This window comes from Homo sapiens, chromosome 9 (genome assembly GCF_000001405.40).
Source record: "Homo sapiens chromosome 9, GRCh38.p14 Primary Assembly".
Classification (NCBI taxonomy): Eukaryota; Metazoa; Chordata; class Mammalia; order Primates; family Hominidae; genus Homo; species Homo sapiens.
In genome coordinates, this window is record NC_000009.12 from 98154490 (window position 1) to 98171985 (window position 17496).

General features: G+C 48.0%; 1 protein-coding gene across 3 annotated transcripts in view, besides 5 other annotated features; it reads right to left on the minus strand.

Annotated features, from left to right (window-relative positions):
- CORO2A (coronin 2A) overlaps positions 1–17496 on the minus strand; it is a 71663-nt gene that overhangs the window by 33515 nt on the left and 20652 nt on the right. For all 3 annotated transcript variants that reach the window (NM_052820.4, XM_011518986.4, NM_003389.3), the window contains exon 2: positions 2971–3171. In NM_052820.4, coding sequence (NP_438171.1) covers positions 2971–3171 — 201 coding nt within the window. The remainder of the gene's footprint in view (positions 1–2970; positions 3172–17496) is intronic.
- Positions 5142–5642: an enhancer, noted in NCBI's record as "H3K27ac hESC enhancer chr9:100921913-100922413 (GRCh37/hg19 assembly coordinates)". NCBI's record gives its function as "activates a minimal SCP1, AML or CMV promoter by ChIP-STARR-seq in primed H9 embryonic stem cells {active_cell/tissue: H9 hESC(primed)}" and the evidence as "EXISTENCE:reporter gene assay evidence [ECO:0000049][PMID:30033119]".
- Positions 7989–8489: an enhancer, noted in NCBI's record as "H3K4me1 hESC enhancer chr9:100924760-100925260 (GRCh37/hg19 assembly coordinates)". NCBI's record gives its function as "activates a minimal SCP1, AML or CMV promoter by ChIP-STARR-seq in primed H9 embryonic stem cells {active_cell/tissue: H9 hESC(primed)}" and the evidence as "EXISTENCE:reporter gene assay evidence [ECO:0000049][PMID:30033119]".
- Positions 14454–14643: an enhancer, noted in NCBI's record as "active region_28693". NCBI's record gives its function as "activates an Ori minimal core promoter by ATAC-STARR-seq in GM12878 lymphoblastoid cells {active_cell/tissue: GM12878}" and the evidence as "EXISTENCE:reporter gene assay evidence [ECO:0000049][PMID:35858748]".
- Positions 14924–15073: a silencer, noted in NCBI's record as "silent region_20116". NCBI's record gives its function as "represses an Ori minimal core promoter by ATAC-STARR-seq in GM12878 lymphoblastoid cells {active_cell/tissue: GM12878}" and the evidence as "EXISTENCE:reporter gene assay evidence [ECO:0000049][PMID:35858748]".
- Positions 16592–17427: an enhancer, noted in NCBI's record as "H3K4me1 hESC enhancer chr9:100933363-100934198 (GRCh37/hg19 assembly coordinates)". NCBI's record gives its function as "activates a minimal SCP1, AML or CMV promoter by ChIP-STARR-seq in naive H9 embryonic stem cells {active_cell/tissue: H9 hESC(naive)}" and the evidence as "EXISTENCE:reporter gene assay evidence [ECO:0000049][PMID:30033119]".

The window sequence follows — 17496 nt, forward strand, 5'->3', positions numbered from 1 at the left end:
CCAAGACATGAACCATTACTAGCACATAGGAGGTCTCCCACGAGATGCTTTCCAGTCGTAACCCTCTCCATCCCCCAGGGGTAACTGCTATTCTGTTTTTCATGGTAGTCTCTTCTTTGTTTTTCTTTAAAATTTCACTATGTAATTATGCAACTGTTAAAGTATGGTTTAGTGTAGGCTGTTTTTAATTTAAGGTTAATTAAATGATATAGTTTAAAATTTGTTTGGCTTATTTCACTCAACTTTATCTTTCTGACTCAACCATGTTGTTGTATATAACTACACTTTATTCCTTTTTGTGGTTTTGTACATTCACTTGTATGGATATGCCATAATTTATTTATGAAGTTCTTGGACATACAGGTTTTCCCAGTTTTGCAATAATACAAACAATGCTACTATGCACATTCTTATGCTTCTGTTCTGGTGGACAGAGCACCAGTGGTGAACACTGCGTGGTATAAACCTATGGTTGGTATTTCTGGGTCACAGGTATATGCATTTTCTTCTTCTTTCCAAAACAGGTGTGCCAGTTTACACTCCCATCAGAAGTGTCTGATCGTTTACACAACTCTGTATACTTGCTGTCATTTACTAGTGTTAGACATTTTTGACAATCTGATGTGTAGTGGTATTGCACTGGTTTACTAATGAGGTTGAGTAGTTTTTCAAATGCTTATTAGCCATTTGGATTTTCTTTGCTATGAAGTGCTGGTTCAGTGTTTTGTGGATTTTTCGGTACATTTTATACATTCAAGAAATGAGTCTTTTGTCATGTTTATTATATCCTTTTCCACTCTATAGCTCGCCTTTCCTTTTGCTATTTTCTTTAAGGGAAATTTTTATTGCTCAATTTTTTTTTTTTTTTTTTTTTTGAGATGGAGTCTGGCTCTGTCACCCAGGCTAGAGTGCAGTGGCATGATCTCAGCTCACTGCAACCTCTGCCTCCTGCGTTCAAGCAATTCTCCTGCCTCAGCCTCCCGAGTAGCTGGGATTACAGGTGCCCGCCACTGTGCCTGGCTAATTTTTGTATTTTTAGTAGAGACGGGGTTTCACCATGTTGGTTAGGCTGGTCTCGAACTCCTGACCTCATGATCCACCCACCTCAGCCTCCCAATGTGCTGGGATTAAAGGCATGAGCCACCACGCCTGGCCTATTGTTCAATTTTTAAAGTACATAAAGGACTATTCCTTTAAAGAACTATTCAGGCTTTCTATTTCTACATAAATCAGTATTGACAAGTTATATTTTTTAAGGAGTTTGCCCATATTGTTAATGTTCTCAAATTTATTGGCATACAGTTGCTTGTATTAGTTCTTATTAGATTTCAAAGCTCTGCTGTGATATTGTTTTTCTCATTCCTGATGCTTTTTGTACCCTTTCTCTTTTATTGTTGGCCAGTCTCTGCAGGGGCTTGTCTATCACCCTTTTCTAAAAACAAACTTTTGGCCCTTTTATCTTCTCTAATGTATCCTTATATTCTCTTTCATTGATTTTTGCTTTTTATTATCTCCTTCCTCAAACTTTCTTTGGGTTTATTCTGCTGCTCTTTGTTTGAATTTTTTTTTTTTTTTTTTTGAGACAGGGTCTCACTCTGTTGCCCAGGCTGGAGTACAGTGTTGAAAGCATGGCTCACAACTTCCCTGGGCTCAGGTAATCTGACCTCAGCCTCCTAAGTAGCTAGGACCACAGGCAAATGCCCTCATGCCCAGTTAATTTTTGTATTTTTTGTACAGATGGGGTTTCACCATGTTGCCCAGGCTGGTCTCAAACTCTTGGGCTTAAGTAATCCTCTGGCCTTGGCCTTCCAAAGTGCTGGGATTACAGGTGTGAGCCACTGTACCCGGCTCTAACTTCTTAGATGGAATGTTTAATCATTAATTTTTAGGCTTCCTTCTTTTCTAATATAAGCATTAGTGCTATAGATTTCCCTTGAAGCCCCACTTTCCCTACATCTCGTAAGTTTTGTGATATATTTCATTTTATCAATTCCAAGGATTTTTAAATTTCCATTTTGATTTTGTTTATGGCCTATAAATTATTTAGAAATAGTTTTTAAGTTTCCAAATGAATGGGAATTTAAGATTTATCTTTTGTTATTGATTTCTAACTCAATTGCATTGTGTTCAGGAAACCTGGTCTATGAGATTCTAATCTGCGTGATCTTTTAACTTCTGAAGTCCTCTGGGGGTCTAAGTCTGCTATTTGTGTTTCAGCTGACTCTCACTCATGGTGGTGTACATGCTTTGTGATCTTTGTGGATTCATATTTCTCTATGTTTAATCTGTGGGGATCCTGTCCACATTGTGGATGCTTTCCTCTGGAGAGGCTTCATGTCAGTTTCTGCTGTGAGCCAGTGGCACTACTAACCTGGGATCCCTCTAGCCCCTTCAGGTGTTCTGCCTTAAGGTAGAGACTCAGGGTTGGCATCCTGAATGGAACTACTATTAGGTTGATCTATGTGAAAATGTTGCTTTTTTGGGGTCAAACCAGTTGAATATCCACAATTTTATATGGTCCAACCTACGCTAGCAACACTTGCACTAAGGACAAAAGCCTGTTCTTCCTGCTTGCTTACTGTTTGCCTCTCCTAGCTAGTTTTGACTCAATGTTTGTTTCCCTTTTTTTGGTGGGGAAGGTGGCTTTGGAGACTTTCCCAATTTCCTGTAATCCCAGTAAAGCATTAAAAAATTATATTTTATTCAGGAGGAAATAAATTCGCAGAATTATATTGCAGAGAAGAGGAGAGGTGCTACGAGTAGCTAAGCCAACTGCTAGAGGCTAAAATTCAGGACAGGTGTATTTTTCCCAGTGAGGAAACCAAGGCTCAAAGAGATGAAATGACTTACTCAAGGTCACACAGCTAGTAATGGGCAGGGCTAGGACTTTCTAGAAACCCAGGCTCTTTCCACTTTCCCTCTGTCCTGCCCTGCCTCCAGAGAGCTGTTTGGGCCTGGGGGTGTCCTTACCTGGTGCAGGGGGATGACGAGGAAGGCCCCTCCACCAGCACACTCAGTCACAACTGCAATGAAGTGGGGGTTCACGGCACAGAAGTGGTTGTCGTGAACGCTGCGGGTGATAGGCACGGAGTCGTAGCAGTTCTCCTTGCTGGCTGGTTTGCCAAAGACATGACGGAACTTGGAGCTCCGGTACTGGGGGTGCCATGACATCTGCAGGAGACAAATGGGACAAAGGGTATGAGGCTCACTGCCCTGATCATGGGACACACAGAGCTCTCATCTTAAGAGTACATAAGAGGGTACGAGCAGGACAGTGGTCAGTTCAACGTGGACGGTGATGCACTGTGAAGGGCAAACAAGTGAAAAGACTCTAATTACAGTTACTTCTGTAGACCTGGTAAGATAAGATGGGATGAAGCATAGCTATTACTGACCTGCTTGCTGATGTGTTAAGGCTTTTCATCCCTTTGAGTGTGAATATAACAAGGCAGAAGAACCATAGAGAGAATCCACCACATTGACCCCCATCTGCTGTTTCACCAGACAGCCCAGTACCCTCAGCCCGACTAAGTAGGTACCAATGTGCTGTCTGGAGCCAGCCTGCCTGGGTTTCAATCCCAGCTCTGTCTCTTATCAGCTGGATGGCAAGTGACTTAACCTCTGGAGTCTCAGTTTCTCCATCTGTAAAATGAGGTAACACAAGTATCCATCTCAGCTAGGCATGGCAGCTCATGCCTGTAATCCCAGCATTTTGGGAGGCCAAGGCAGGAGGACTGATTGAGCCCAGGAGTTCAAATGTAGCCTGGGCAACACAGTGAGACCCTGTCTCTAAAAAAAAAATAAAAGAGAGAGAGATTGAAAAAAGTATCTGCCTCATAGCCTTGTCATAAGGATTAAGTTAGATGATGTATTTAGACCCCTTGGTGCATGGCAGATACTTGATCAACAGTGGCAATCACAGCCACTAGTATCATCTGGGCATCTTCAGCTTGCTTTGCTCCTCGTCCAGCCTTATATTTGTTCACTCAATATTTACCGAGCATCACTGTGTGTCTAGGCCCTGTGCCAGGTACCAGGGAGTTTGGAAACAGTAGGCCTGAGCCCAGCCTTTACAGGAGTGAAGAGTCCTCTGGGTGAGGCTACTAGGAGAGTCTGGGCCACTGGGACCGACTGTACTATGGGTAATAACAGAGATTCGCACATGACAGTCAGGGAGGGCTTCTCAAAGGAAGTGACAACTAAACAGTGACTTGGAGGATGAGTAGGAGTTGGTCATGTAGGCAGGATGAGGGAGAGCTGGGGGAAGGTGTCTTAGGCAGATAGAACAGTTTGGGGGAACCACATGTGGTTTAGTAAGATTATCAAAGAGAAATTAAAAAGAAGAAAACACACACACACACACACACACACCATGTATATTGGGTAACGTGAATGAAGAGAATACAAGCCAGAGGGGCGAGGAGAGCCAGATCACAAGTGGCCTGTGAGAGGGTCTAGGCCTCTTTCATGGCCAAACCCATACCCATAATACCAGGGGGCCTCCTCTTGGCCAGACGGACCCTTCTGAATACCAAGCCCTCACCACCCCACCCCCACCTCATATCACCCTTTATTTATTATTATTTTTGAGGAAGGATCTCGCTCTGTCACCCAGGCTGGAGTGCAGTGGTGTGATCATAGCTCGCTGCAGCCTCAAACTCCTGACCTCAAGGATCCTCCTGCCTCAGCCTTCCAAGTAGCTAGGACTACAGGTACATGCCACCATACCTGGCTAATTAAAAAAATTTTTTTTCTTGCCATGTTGCCCAGGCTGGTCTCAACCTCCTGATCTCAAGCAATTCTCCTGTAGCTGCCTCTCAAAGGTTGGGATTAAAGGCGTGAGCCACTGCCCCTGGCCTCACATCACCCTCTGATGCTGCCCATTCATTGCTGCCCTACAGGATCAAGGCCAAATCCTTTGGCTTGGCATTCAAGGCCTCTGGCTGGGTCTCATTCCATATTCCAAGATTCTTTTCTTCTAGCTCATCTAAACGGCACCTTCCAGCTTCCCCAGCACCTGCTCTTGCATCTCCAGCCCTCTGGCTCTTTGCCCGTCCCTCTCCTTCTGCTTGGCTTGCCATTCCCATGCCCCCACCTCCTGTTCCCATCTCCACAAATCCAAATCCGCCCCTTCCCTAGCTCCCAAGCCACTTCCTCCAGAGAGTCCTCCTTGATATCCCAAGTAGCAGAGATCTCGCTCTCCTCTGTTCCCTGACAGCCACCTCTCCCCTTGCCTTTAGCCCTTGACACTGTCTACCCTGATTTGGGGTTCAGGGTCAGTTCTCATTTTCTCTGCTGGCTTGGAGCTTCCTCAGAGAAGGCTCTGCTCCAGGAGTGTCCAGCACAGTGTCTATCCCCCTTGGGCCCCCACCTTCCCCACTTAGGGGAAGGCAGGTTTGGCTGGGCCTACGCTGGTCAAGATAAAGAAGATGCTCACCCAGCCCACACGGCTGACCCATGAGGCTCTTCTCTGTGCTCAATTCCTCAGAACGAGATTACACTGTGTGACCTCAGGCAAGTCATAGCGATAAGGGCCTGACCCCTGAGGCAAGCCCTTTAGACAGCACCAGGTAGCACGTCAGTCTTGCAGGGGCTTGTGTATCCCATAAAGCTCAGAAATTCCAACTCTCCTTTCGGGAGCTTTGCCCTAAACCCTGGCTGCATTTGCCAGAGCTACAGGAAGCTGCACAGAATGTAGGGATGGACTGACTAATTAATGCCCATGTGATTCCAGAAAGGATTTAAGAAGACTCACAAAAATAGAACACAAGATAGAAGGAAATGAAAAAGCTACAAGAGAAAAAATAGGGACACAAGGAAAATGCAGGTAAAAAGAGATCACCTGAAACGCAGGAGGAGTTAAGCTAGGTGTGCGGCCAGGTCCACCACACAGAGGAGGTAGACCTCAGATTTGGCTCTGAGCTTCCTAGTGGCCAATTCAACAAGGAAAAGAGAATCAGAAAGGGATTTATTTGGTGTCTATAAGATAAAAGCCACAAGTTGCTAAGGAGCAGCACATCTTTTCTCTATAGTGAGTTTTGAGAGAAATGGGTACTGGGGGTCCCCTTGGAAAGAAACAACAAGGACAAATGACCTCCCTAGGGTCTTGGCAACTTGGTGGCAGTGGAGGAGCCACCTTGGGCCTGGGCTCGGGTGGGAAAGCAAGGAGCAAATCAGCAGGCTCCGCTCCAGGCCCCCCCACTCCTCCCTCACCTTGAGCAACTGCTGGGGGTGGCGGGAGTGCACCTGTCTGTGGCAGCTGGTGATGCTCACCAGACGTCCCATTGCTCCCCTCATGTCCAGGCCCCTTCCAGTCAGGCAGCCATAGCACACATCACTGCCTCCTATGACCCGTTAGCCAGTGGATCATGGGAGGCAGTGATGTGTGTCACTTCCAGGCCAAAGCACATGAGACCTGCCTGTGACCCTCTAGGACTCTCGTCCTTGGCCAAAGGGATGAGAAGGGTGCATGTTTCAGATGGTGCATCTATAAGGTAGTTGGTCCCTCAGGAACCATGTGTAGCAGAGCACTTTCTTCTACTGACATACAGTGCAACAGAGAAATACACTTGTAGAGTGAACCATGAGATAAGGGGTTATTTGTCATGGAGGACAGCGACCCATCCTGATTCATACAGCCTATGCAAGTCCGGCCCATGGAGATGGCAAGTGGCTGCCTGTGCTTGGTGTGGCCACAGAGGAGGAGGCAGGACCCAGATCATCTCAGATACCCGGACTCTGAGGGCAGTGGGGAGCTACTGGAGAAATTAAAGGAGGGGAGAAGCTGGGCACGGTGGCTCACACCTGTAATCCCAGCACTTTGGGAGGCTGAGGTGGGGGGATCACTTGAGGTCAGGAGTTCGAGACCAGCCTGGCCAACATGGTGAAACCCCGTCTCTACTGAAAATACAAAAATTAGCCGGGTGTGGTGGCGCGCGCCTGTAGTCCCAGCCACTCTGGAGGCTGAGGCAGGAGAATCACTTGAACCGGGAATGCGGAGGTTGCAGCGAGCCAAGATCGCACCACTGCACTCCATCCTAGGGAACAGAGTGATAATCTGTCTCAAAAATAATTAATAATAATTCTAATAAATAAAGCAGGGGAGATAGAGGACCAGATTTAATTTTCAGGTTTTCCTCTGATTCCTGAGCAGAGGAAAGGATAGAGCAGGTAAGAGGCAATGGTCACCCGGGCTGGAGTAGGGCAGTGAAGTGGACGGGATGGTGGGGAGAGGATGTTACTGAAATACCAAGGAGGTGGGATCAACCAAATGTGGTGCCTGAGTGCATGTGGCGGGCCTGGGGTAGTCGCTGAAATCGACATGAGCTTACATTAACAACAGCCCTGGCCCCTTCCGGACCCTCTGAGCTGTCTCCCTCCACAGCCTGTCTGTGCACCTGTAGGGGGTACCTGGGGTCTGGCCCAACTCCTGAGAGCCACTCTCCATCCAGGAGGAGTGAGGAGGCCGTGAGAGGCCTGGGCAACACCTCCCCTGGAGCTCACAGTCACCTCTGTGGCAATAAGAAGTCATGGTTTTTGAGTGCTTACAAGCTGCCAGGCGCCATTCCAAATGCTTTCCATGCATGAATAGAGCAAGTGGGTGCTACCTTGCTCCCCCGTTCAGATGTAGGTGTTCAGGCCAGTAACCGGGTCACACAGCTAGTGAACAGCAGGCCTGGGGGCTGCACTCAGCTGTCTCAAGCCTGCAGCTTTTGAGCCTGCAGCTCCAGGTCCTCACAGACAATACCCATGATGACAATAGCTCTTTCAGACCCATCACAGCCCTGGATCTCACCTCTGTCCCTAAGAGGAACTGTCATGATCATGATCACTTCCACTCTACAGAGAAGGAAAATGAGGCCCAGGAAGCTAGCTAGAACCCTCTGGAAAGGCTCCCCACTTCCCCACGGATGAAGCCAGCTGACAGCAAAAGAGCGTGAACATCAGTGCCCTTCTGTCCGTCCCCCAATCCTCTCCCCACCCTAACTCTTATTTGCACTGCTAAGATTCTTCCAGACCTGCTGTCATGAAGGGAAACTTCACAAGTAGGGGGTGGGGCAGCCGCTAGCAAGGCCAGCTACCTCTCCCTTTGTATGTGGCATGGAAGTGTATGTGTATATGCATGGGTGAAGCTTGTGCATGCGTGCTGGCCTGTGTGCGTACTGTGTGTGCACAAGAACTGCATTCATCAGGAAGTTCATGAGCGCCTGTGTCGTTTTGTGGGTGTGCATGCACGTGTGCATCCCTTTGGATGTTTAACTGAGGCTGTGTATATACACATGCATGAGCGCATGCGTGTATCCGTGCATGCATGACTTTAATGACTCAGTAATTCAGAGAACAGGAGTTCATTTTCCCTACAAGCAGGCACTTGCCCACAAGTGAGTACTGTAGCGGGCCCTTCGCCTACAGGCTGGGCCAGAACAGCCGATTCGAGCCAGGTCTATCCCAGGCCACTCATCTTATCCTGCCCCATTCCATCTGGCTGGGCCCACATCAAAGCCACAACAGGCATTCTCAGGTGTGGCACTCTGGGACAGCCTGCTGGGCACAAGGCGGGAGGTGGCATCCATTCTGCTGCTGTGATCCCATGCAGGCTTGGTGGGCCTGATGCCATGGGATTAGGCTCCGGGGCCTGTGAATTCCCAACTCCCAGAAAGGATGTAGTCATCTCTGGGTTTTGCATCGCACTGAGTTTATTTCTTTTTTTTTCTTTGAGACGGAGTCTCGCTCTGTTGCCCAGGCTGGAGTGTGCAGTGGTGCTATCTCAGCTCACTGCAACCTCTGCCTCCTGGGTTCAAGCGATTCTCCTGCCTCAGCCTCCAGAGTAGCTGGGATAACAGGCGCATGCCACTGTGCCCCACTAATTTTTGTATTTTTAGTAGAGACAGGGTTTTGCCAAGTTGCCCAGGCTGGTCACAAACTCCTGACCTCAGGTGATCCGCCTACCTTGGCCTCCCTAAGTGCTGAGATTACAGGCGTAAGCCATTGTGCCCGGCCTTGAGTTTATTTCTTAACACCTGACAGTGGCTCACAACTCTCCTGCAAGGTAGGTGGGGATTATTTTCCCCCATTTGATGATGGGAAAACTGGGGTGCAAGGGAAGTGACTAGACTGAAGTCATGTTATGATGAGCAGTGCAGGTGGGAAGTAGTCTGAGGACTAGTTGAGAGACCCCTCTTCCTGCTATGCAATATGCTCCTTTCTTGACATACATGCGGGGTGTGTGTGTGTGTGTGTATGTGTGTGTGTGAGAGAGAGAGAGAGAGAGAGAGAGAGAGAGAGAAAGAGACAGAGAGAGTTTCCTGCCTGTTCCAAAGGCCCCTCTTCTTTACCCAGCCCTAAACTCATTGCAGGACAAGGGTTAGCTGCAGGGTGGCTGAAACTGAACCCAAACTGGGCGTGGTGCAAACCATTATAATAGATTATTCATTAATTGTACTGTTTGTGGCTTTAAGGAAAGAATGAAATGACCTGATTTGGTCTTTGAACAGGATGGGTAGGCATTGCTGGCTACCAGTGCCCCTTCGTAAATTTGTGGTTTCACATATAATATTTGAAGTTTTATCTGTTCTCTCTCTTAAAATTTGACTTGTGGGCACAGTGAGCTGCCACCTGTAAGTGCCTGGTGAGAGGGTCTGAACCACCACACTTATGTCACAGCCACAGTTAGGGAAGATTAGAACCACAAGTTACCCAGTTATTTCAAAAACCGAAAAGAGGTTACTGTTAATCAGGATAAAGAACGCTCTATGTGAAGGTGCTCTACAAAGGCTGAGAATTCACACAATACACGTCTCATCATGGGTGGGTCCCTCACCTGGACTCCAATCCCTGACCCACTATTATCCATCACAGTTTATCTTGATCCTGGCCTTGGCCCTAAACTTGCTGGGAAAGCTCTTTTCAGTCATCCAGAATCCTTATGGGGTCTCTGATCCACCCATTGCGAGTGGGATATCTGGCTCTGAAATCAAAGCCCATGGAGGATAAGGCCACCCTGCTGCCAACCTAGGCCTCTGGGTAACCATTTCCCACAGCATCTTCCTTTCTCACCAGGCAGGAAGAAAAAAATACAAGGCTCAGCTACTTCTCCTCTGTAAGGGTTTTATCACAACTGGGCTCTGTGAATCTAAGGCCAGACCCTGGTTTAAACCACCACCTCTTGGCACGAGGTGTCTTAACTTTTGCCTTGCACCGGCCAGCAACAAGGTCTGAAGTGATACAGTGGGATCCAGTGTGCTAGGACCTAACAGTCTCACCCCACAGGGTAATTTTTCCTCCCTCCTTCAAAGCAAAAAGGGTCCTTGCCGCTCTCCACAGAAGTAGGGCAACTAACTGTCTTGGTTTGCCTCGGATTGTGGAGGGGTTCCAGGGAGGCAGGACTTACAGCGCTAAACTGGGGGAAGTCTTACTTAGGCAAACAGGGATAAGTTGGTCACTCTCCCACCACTACCACCACCACCAGGGTCTAGGTGTAACAATTCTTTTTTTTTTGAGATAGGGCCTCACTTTGCTACCCAGGCTGGAGTGCAGAGGCGTGATCAGTGCTCTCTGCAGCCTCAACCTCCTGGGCTTGCGCAATCCTCTGGCTTCAGCCTCCTGCATAGCTAAGAACAAGCATGTACCACCGTGCTTGGCTAATTTTTTTGTAAAGACAGGGTTTCACTCTGTTGCCAGGCTGGTCTTGAACACCTGGCCTCAGGCGATCCTCACACCTCAGCCTCTCAAAGTGCTGGGATGACAGGCGTGAGCCACCGTGCCTGGCTTACACGTAACAATTCTATTGTAAATTCCTGGTAGCCCTGACTTTGTCAAGTTGTCTGCGAGAGAGGAGGCTCTAGAATCCATTTCTTAAAGGGCCCAACATACCGAACCATAGAATAGAAATTTCAAAGCAGAATAATCCAGGAAGCTTTATAGAGAGAGGTGAAGAGGATTTCATTCAATCTCCAATCTTCATCTGATATTGACTTGGTGCTTATTCTGCGCCAAGCCGTGTCAGGAGCAGGGCTCGGAGGGGTCAGAGATGAATAATTCAGTCACTGCTCTCCACATGTTCATACCTCTCAGGGAAATGACCAAGAGCAGAAAGAGATGAGATGGTGTGACCTTGAGGGACTGCTAACATGCAGGGCAGTGGCTTGCAACTTTGCACATTAGAATCACTTAAATCAGATTACTGGGTGGGGGACCCAGATGCCAGCACTGCTTAAGCTTCCAGTGCATGTGATTCCAGCGCATGTTAGGAGCAAGGATAACAGAAACACATAATGGATGTGATGCAGTAGTTCTCAAAGTGCAGTCCCCCATTAACCATATCACTAGGGAACTTTTTATTTGCAAATTCTCAAGCCTCCTTCCCCAGACCTACTGAATCAGGTATTCTGGGGGTGGGGCTCACCACTCTGCTTTAACCAGCCCCCCAGGTTCAAGTTTGAGACTCAGTGGTGTAATGGATGGGTTGGCAATACCTGAACCCACTGCCCAATCTTAGCATCACTAAAAGAGATAACCAGACATTATGTGCTGCTAACATGAAGCAACAGGAAACACTACTTATAAAGTGGCCTTGCCAAAAAATGAAACCCACTGTTGACCGAGTCTTTGTATGTAACTGTGCACACAGAGTATGGAGAAACATGTTAACAGCCACACAGATACAATCAGGAAAAAAACACAGGACATCCTACATGCTAAGTTTTCTGGTTTCTAACATTAACTCAAAATGCAACAAAGACCTAAATAGAAGAGCTAAATCTATAAAAAACCTTAGAAGAAAACGAAGAGCAAAATCTTCACAACATTGGGCTTGGCAATGATTCCTTGGTTATGATACCAGGAACAGGCAACAAAAGAAAAAAAATAGACAAATTGTATTCATGGAAATTAAAAACTTGTGTGTATTTAAGGATACTAGCAACAGAGTGAAAAGGCAACATATGGAATGAGAGGAAATATTTGCAAATCCATATGATAAGGTGTTAATGTTGAGAATATATAAAGAACTCTGACAACTCAACAACAAGCAAGCAAACAATTTGATTTGAAACAATCTGATTTAGTGCACTGTTGGTAGGAATGCAAAAGGGTTTAGTTGCTATGAAAGATAGTACGGCAGTTCATCAAAAATTTAAAAATAGAACGATCATACGATTCAGCAACTCCACTTCTGGAATATACACCCTTAAAGAAATGAAAGCAGGGTCTAGAAGAGATATTTGCACACTCATGTTCATAGCAGCATTATTCCCAATAGCTTAAATGTGGAATCAACCCAAGTGTCCGTTCACAGATGAACGGATCAGTAAAATGTGGTATATTCAAACCATGGAATAATATTCAACCTTCAAAAGGAAGAAAACTCTACTTTGGGAGGATGAGGTGGATCGCTTGGGTTCTGGAGTTCAAGACCAGCCTGGGTGACACAGCAAGACCTCATCTCTGCTAGAAATAAAAAAAAAATTAGCTGGGCATGGTGGCACACACCTGTAGTCCCAGCTACTCGGGAGGTCAAGGTGGGAGGATCACTTGAGCTCAGGAGTTAGAGGCTGCAGTAAGCTATGATTATACCACTGTACTCCAGTCTGGGTGATAAAGCAAGATCCTGTCTCAAAAAAAAAAAAAAAAGAAAGAAAAGAAAAAGGAAGAAAGTCTTGAGACATGCTGTAACATGGATGAACTTTGAGGGCATTATGCTAAGTGAAACAAGCCAGTTACAAAAAGACAGCGCATGATTCCACTTATATGAGTTACTTTGAGTAGGCAAAATCACAGGGACAGAAAGTAGAATGGTGGCTGCCAGGGGCTGAGGGTAGGGAGGAATGAAAAGTTATTGTTTAATGGATATAGAGTTTCAGTTTTGCAAGATAAAGAGTTCTAGAGATGGATGGTGGTGATGGCTGCACGGCAGTATGAGCGTACTTAATACCACTGAACTGTACACTTAAGAATGATTTAGATGGCAAATACTATGTTATGTGTATTTTAGTACAATGAAATATACATATATTTTTTAAAAGATCCGGTTTCTTTAAGATGACAAGGAAAAAGGGACAAGGGTCATTACAGTTCAGAAGAGACTTAAGAGATCAGAGGCACAGCAAGAAGTGCAATGTGTGGATCCTGTGTGGATCCGGATTCACACAAACCAATTGCAAAAAGGCATCAGGAAGCAATCAGGGAAAGCTGAGTGGGCACCTGACAGTATTAAAGAATTGTTGTCATTAGGTGTGGTAATAATACTGTGCTTATATTAGACAAGAGTCTTTATCTTTTAGAGACGGATGCCTAATATTCACAGATGAAATGATATAACATCTGGGATTTATCTTAAAATAACTTGCGGTTGTTGGACAGAGGAGGAGGGAATGAGTGCGTAGAGATGAAACAGGCTGCTGATGGCTACTGAAAGTGGGTGAGGGTACAAGAGGATTCATTTGAATCTTTCCTTTAATTTTGTATGTGTCTTTAAATTTCCATTGTAAAAGATTTAAGCAAGAAAGAAGCAGGAGAGCACAGAGGTGGCCCAGGCCCCGGAGCTTGACTGTCAGGGGTCTAATCTTGGCTCTAAACGGCCCTGTCCAACACAGAACCTCTAGTCCCACAAGGCTTCTAAATTAAAGTTAAAATTAAATAAAGTGTAAAATCCAGCTCCTTAGTCACACTAGCAACATTTCAAGAGCTCAAAAGCCACATGTGCTTCATAATCACAGATGAAACCATACAAGCAACACCCAATGAACAGTGTAATTAAACAACATGCCCATCTCTGAACAAAGTTCTGATGGACAGCACCACCCTATCATTTCCTATCTGCCACTCTGGGCAAGTTACTTAATGTGTCTATTTCCTCACCAGGAAAATCAGGCACTACAAATACACATACTAGCTAACGCCTATATTACTGACTAGGTGTTAAGTATGTTCCACATACCAACTCAACCCTCATGCAAGTACTGTCATAGCCCCATTTTTAAGATAAGGAAACAGGGCACAGAGAGGTTATATAACTTGCCTAAGATCACATAGCTAGTTAGTGGCTGGGCTGGAATCTGAAGCCAGGCTGTTCAGTCACAGGTCCACACTCTCTCGCAGGGGTTCCTGGACACTTACATAAGGTGATACACACAGCATGCAGAGTGATGCTTGGTGCATACTTAGTGTTCAAAAGACGTTGGCTAGTAAGATTGTTGTGGTCCCAATGTGTACAAGACACTGAGATGTGATTTAACACACAACAGGTATATGCTGGGAGGCCAGCATTTTGGGTATCTAAGTAAAAATCCCAAACCAGAAAGCATGAAGCAGCCTCCCAGGGGCCAAGTGGCTCGTGAGAGTTCCAACCCCTGGTGCAAACCATGATGATGGGGAAACAGACACACACATGCAGAAGGCTAGCTGACAATTCCTACTGATCAAAAAGAATCCAAGAGAGTGCATTTGTGCATCTCTCCGGGCTGGGTTCTCCTAGGTGGAGGCCAGAAGGCCCCACCCTGCCCTAGTGCTGAGGGACCTGGGACGGGGTGGAGGGGTGGGGGAAGAAGCCCTTTGCTTTTTCTCCATCAGCACAGCCCAGGCAGGGAAGCAGAGCGCAGCCATCCAGGGACCCTCCTTTGGGGCTTGACCATCACCAGCGAGGCAGAAGCCGTCTGCAGCCGGCAAATGCAAACAGCAAATGCAAAGAGTCCCGTCCTCAGGTTTCCGCCTTCCCCGCCCCCGCGCCGCCCATCCTTCTGGTCCAGCACAGATGCATCTCTGCAGGCCCACAGGAAGTACAGATTGAGTCAGAGAGCAAACCAAGACAAGGCCTCTTTCTTCCTGATGAGATTAGGCCTGAGGGAGTGCCTCCTCCCCACATCTGACACTGCCCAGAGCCACCGTCCCTGGGCGGGCCACCTCCTCCTGCCCTGCCTCCTCCCCAGCCCTGCCCCCACGGCCCCCACCTGCTCTCTACCCCTCTCCCAGGCCATGCCAAGGCCTCAGCAGCCTTCTCTCTTGGGGACTCAGGCCTCGCATATTCCACCCCCAACTCTGGCCCTGCACTTTCCCTTAAAATGCACCCCGGGTCCCCTCTGTCCTCAGGATAAAGTCCTCTGCTGGACTTGGGTTTTGAGGTCCCTACGTTCCCCCTGAGTCTTTGACCTCCTTCTCATCTCCACAGACCTGTTCTCTGAGACAAACTGGTCTGTCTGCTCTCCCCTCAAAGCATCGTGCTTTTCAAAAGAGAAGGGGAGAAGCAAAAAGAAAATAAAAAAGCATCATTTTCCCAGATAATCTGTCTTTGCTCATGCCCCTTCCCTCTGCCTAGAACTAAGCCAGCTCAGGTAAGTCGCTGGGTGGCTCTTAGCAGGGCTCTTAGAATGCCCCTTCCTGTCACCCCACCTTCCTGGCCCAGCTCCAACAGAACCACCTCCAAGGAGCCTCCCCAGCTCTCAGACTGAGCAGTCTCTCCATCCCATGAGGTCCCATCCTGACATTTGGGGAGGTAGCCAAAGGCAGGGAAAAAGAAGGCACCAAGTTCAAGCCCTGGACCCCTATTTGTCTCTGTGCCGTAGCATTAGAGTATCCTCATATTTTTCTCATAGAATCTAGAAGATTAAATGAAATAATGTATGTAAAAGACCTTGCATGTGTCTGGCACAAAGTAGGAGCTCAGCCCATGGAAGCGCCCCTCGTCTCCTTTCCTGCCCACTGTGTTTTTTCCTTCTCTTCCTTCCTCCCCCACCAACACACCCATAGGACTGTCAACCTTAGATGGTTCTCCCCTTCTGCTGTGCCCACCTACAGCCCTGTGGGTACCCAGGGGGAGGCCAACCTGACTCCCAGCTTGAGCTTTCACTCACACCAGCAGCTTCTTCTGAACCCCTCCTTGAGGTGGTAGGAGCCAAGGGGCTGGGCCCATCACTGTCATAGCAGTTGTGCTGGTCAGGCTGGAGAATCCTAATTCTTTTATTGTTGTTGTTTTTTTGAAACAGAGTCTCGCTCTGTCACCCAGGCTGGAGTGCAATGGCGTGATCTTGGCTCACTGCAACCTCTGCCTCTGGGGTTCAAGTGATTCTCCTGCCTCAGCCTCCCAAGTAGCTGGGATTACAGGTGTGCACCACCACGCCTGGCTAATTTTTGTATTTTTAGTAGAGCAAAGGGGCTTCACCATGTTAGCCAAGCTGATCTTGAACTCCTGACCTCAGGTATCTGCCCACCTTGGCCTCCCAAAGTGCTGAGATTACAGGTGTGAGCCACTGAGCCTGGCCGAGAATCCTAATTCTGACACCAATTCGCTCCGTCACCTTGGGCAAATCTCGTCCCCTCTCCCGCTTTCTGAGTTTCTATCCATATAATAGTAACAGCCCTGCCCTGCCCACCTGTTAGGACGGTCTGTGGAGGGTGCTGCAGCTTGCACACACCAGACACACACAGGACCACAAGGGCGACAGAGCTGTCCAGCCATCAGCTGTCCTGAGAAGGTCTTGTCCTGCCTGGACCTTCTGGAGACAGAGCAGAGCTTCTTTCTGTTTAATCCCCCAAATCAAGCCCTGACCAAAACTCCACACAGGTTTATTGCCCCACAATCTCCTTATCTGGGAGTTTCGAGCGACAAGGATCACTGGGGATTTTCCAAGACACCTCCAGGAGGCTGAAAATCTGGCAGCTCCACTCCCTGCTCACTGTCCGCTTTCTGGCACAGAGCTTTCAGACCTGTCTTTGGACAGAGAGGGACACTGAGGCTCAGAGAGGAAGCGCGCCTTGCTTAGCGTCCCACAGTCAGCCCGAGGCAGGGCTGAAGCTCTGTAACTCTGGTCCTGGGGTGGGCATCCAACCAGGGGTCCTGCATTCTGTTCTCAGCGTGGACCCACAAATCAGCCCTCACTCTGCCTGCCTCAGGGACCTGGGGCCCAGAGTCAGTTCAGCCAACATCATTGGTGCCCACTCTGAGCCTGATGCCATGCTGGGCACTGTAGGGGAGATGCATGGGCAGACCCAGACAGCGTCACTTATGGGGGAGCTCAGAGGATGGGGGAGGCCCCCATGTAACCAGCAAGCTCAATTCAGGGTCATCAGGGCTAAAGCCAGCGCTGCAAGTTGCAGCAGGGAGATGGAAATCTGGGAAGTCAGGGAGGGCCCCCGGGAGGATACGACTGAGCTGAGCTTTCAAGGCCAAGTAGAGCAAGCCCAGCAGAGGAGGGAAGGGGAGGCATGGGGTGGAAGGCGCTGTGCTAGGTCATGCCTGTCTGTGGTGTGCGGAGATGGAGCCAGGAGCTTGCAGCGCGGGGGTGGGGAGGCTGGGTCTGAGCAAATGCAGGCCAGCAATGGGGCTGCCGCTGGGAGAGGTGCTGGGGGCGCAGTGCTGAGGAGGGGGCACCTGAGACAGTGGGGAGGCATCAAAGTGTGTAACTGGGGGTGTGACATGGTCAGAGCCGAAATAGACTTAACCCCTGCAATTAGGAAGTCAGGACATTGAGCCTGGGAAACGATTTCTTTCCTCAACTTTGGGCT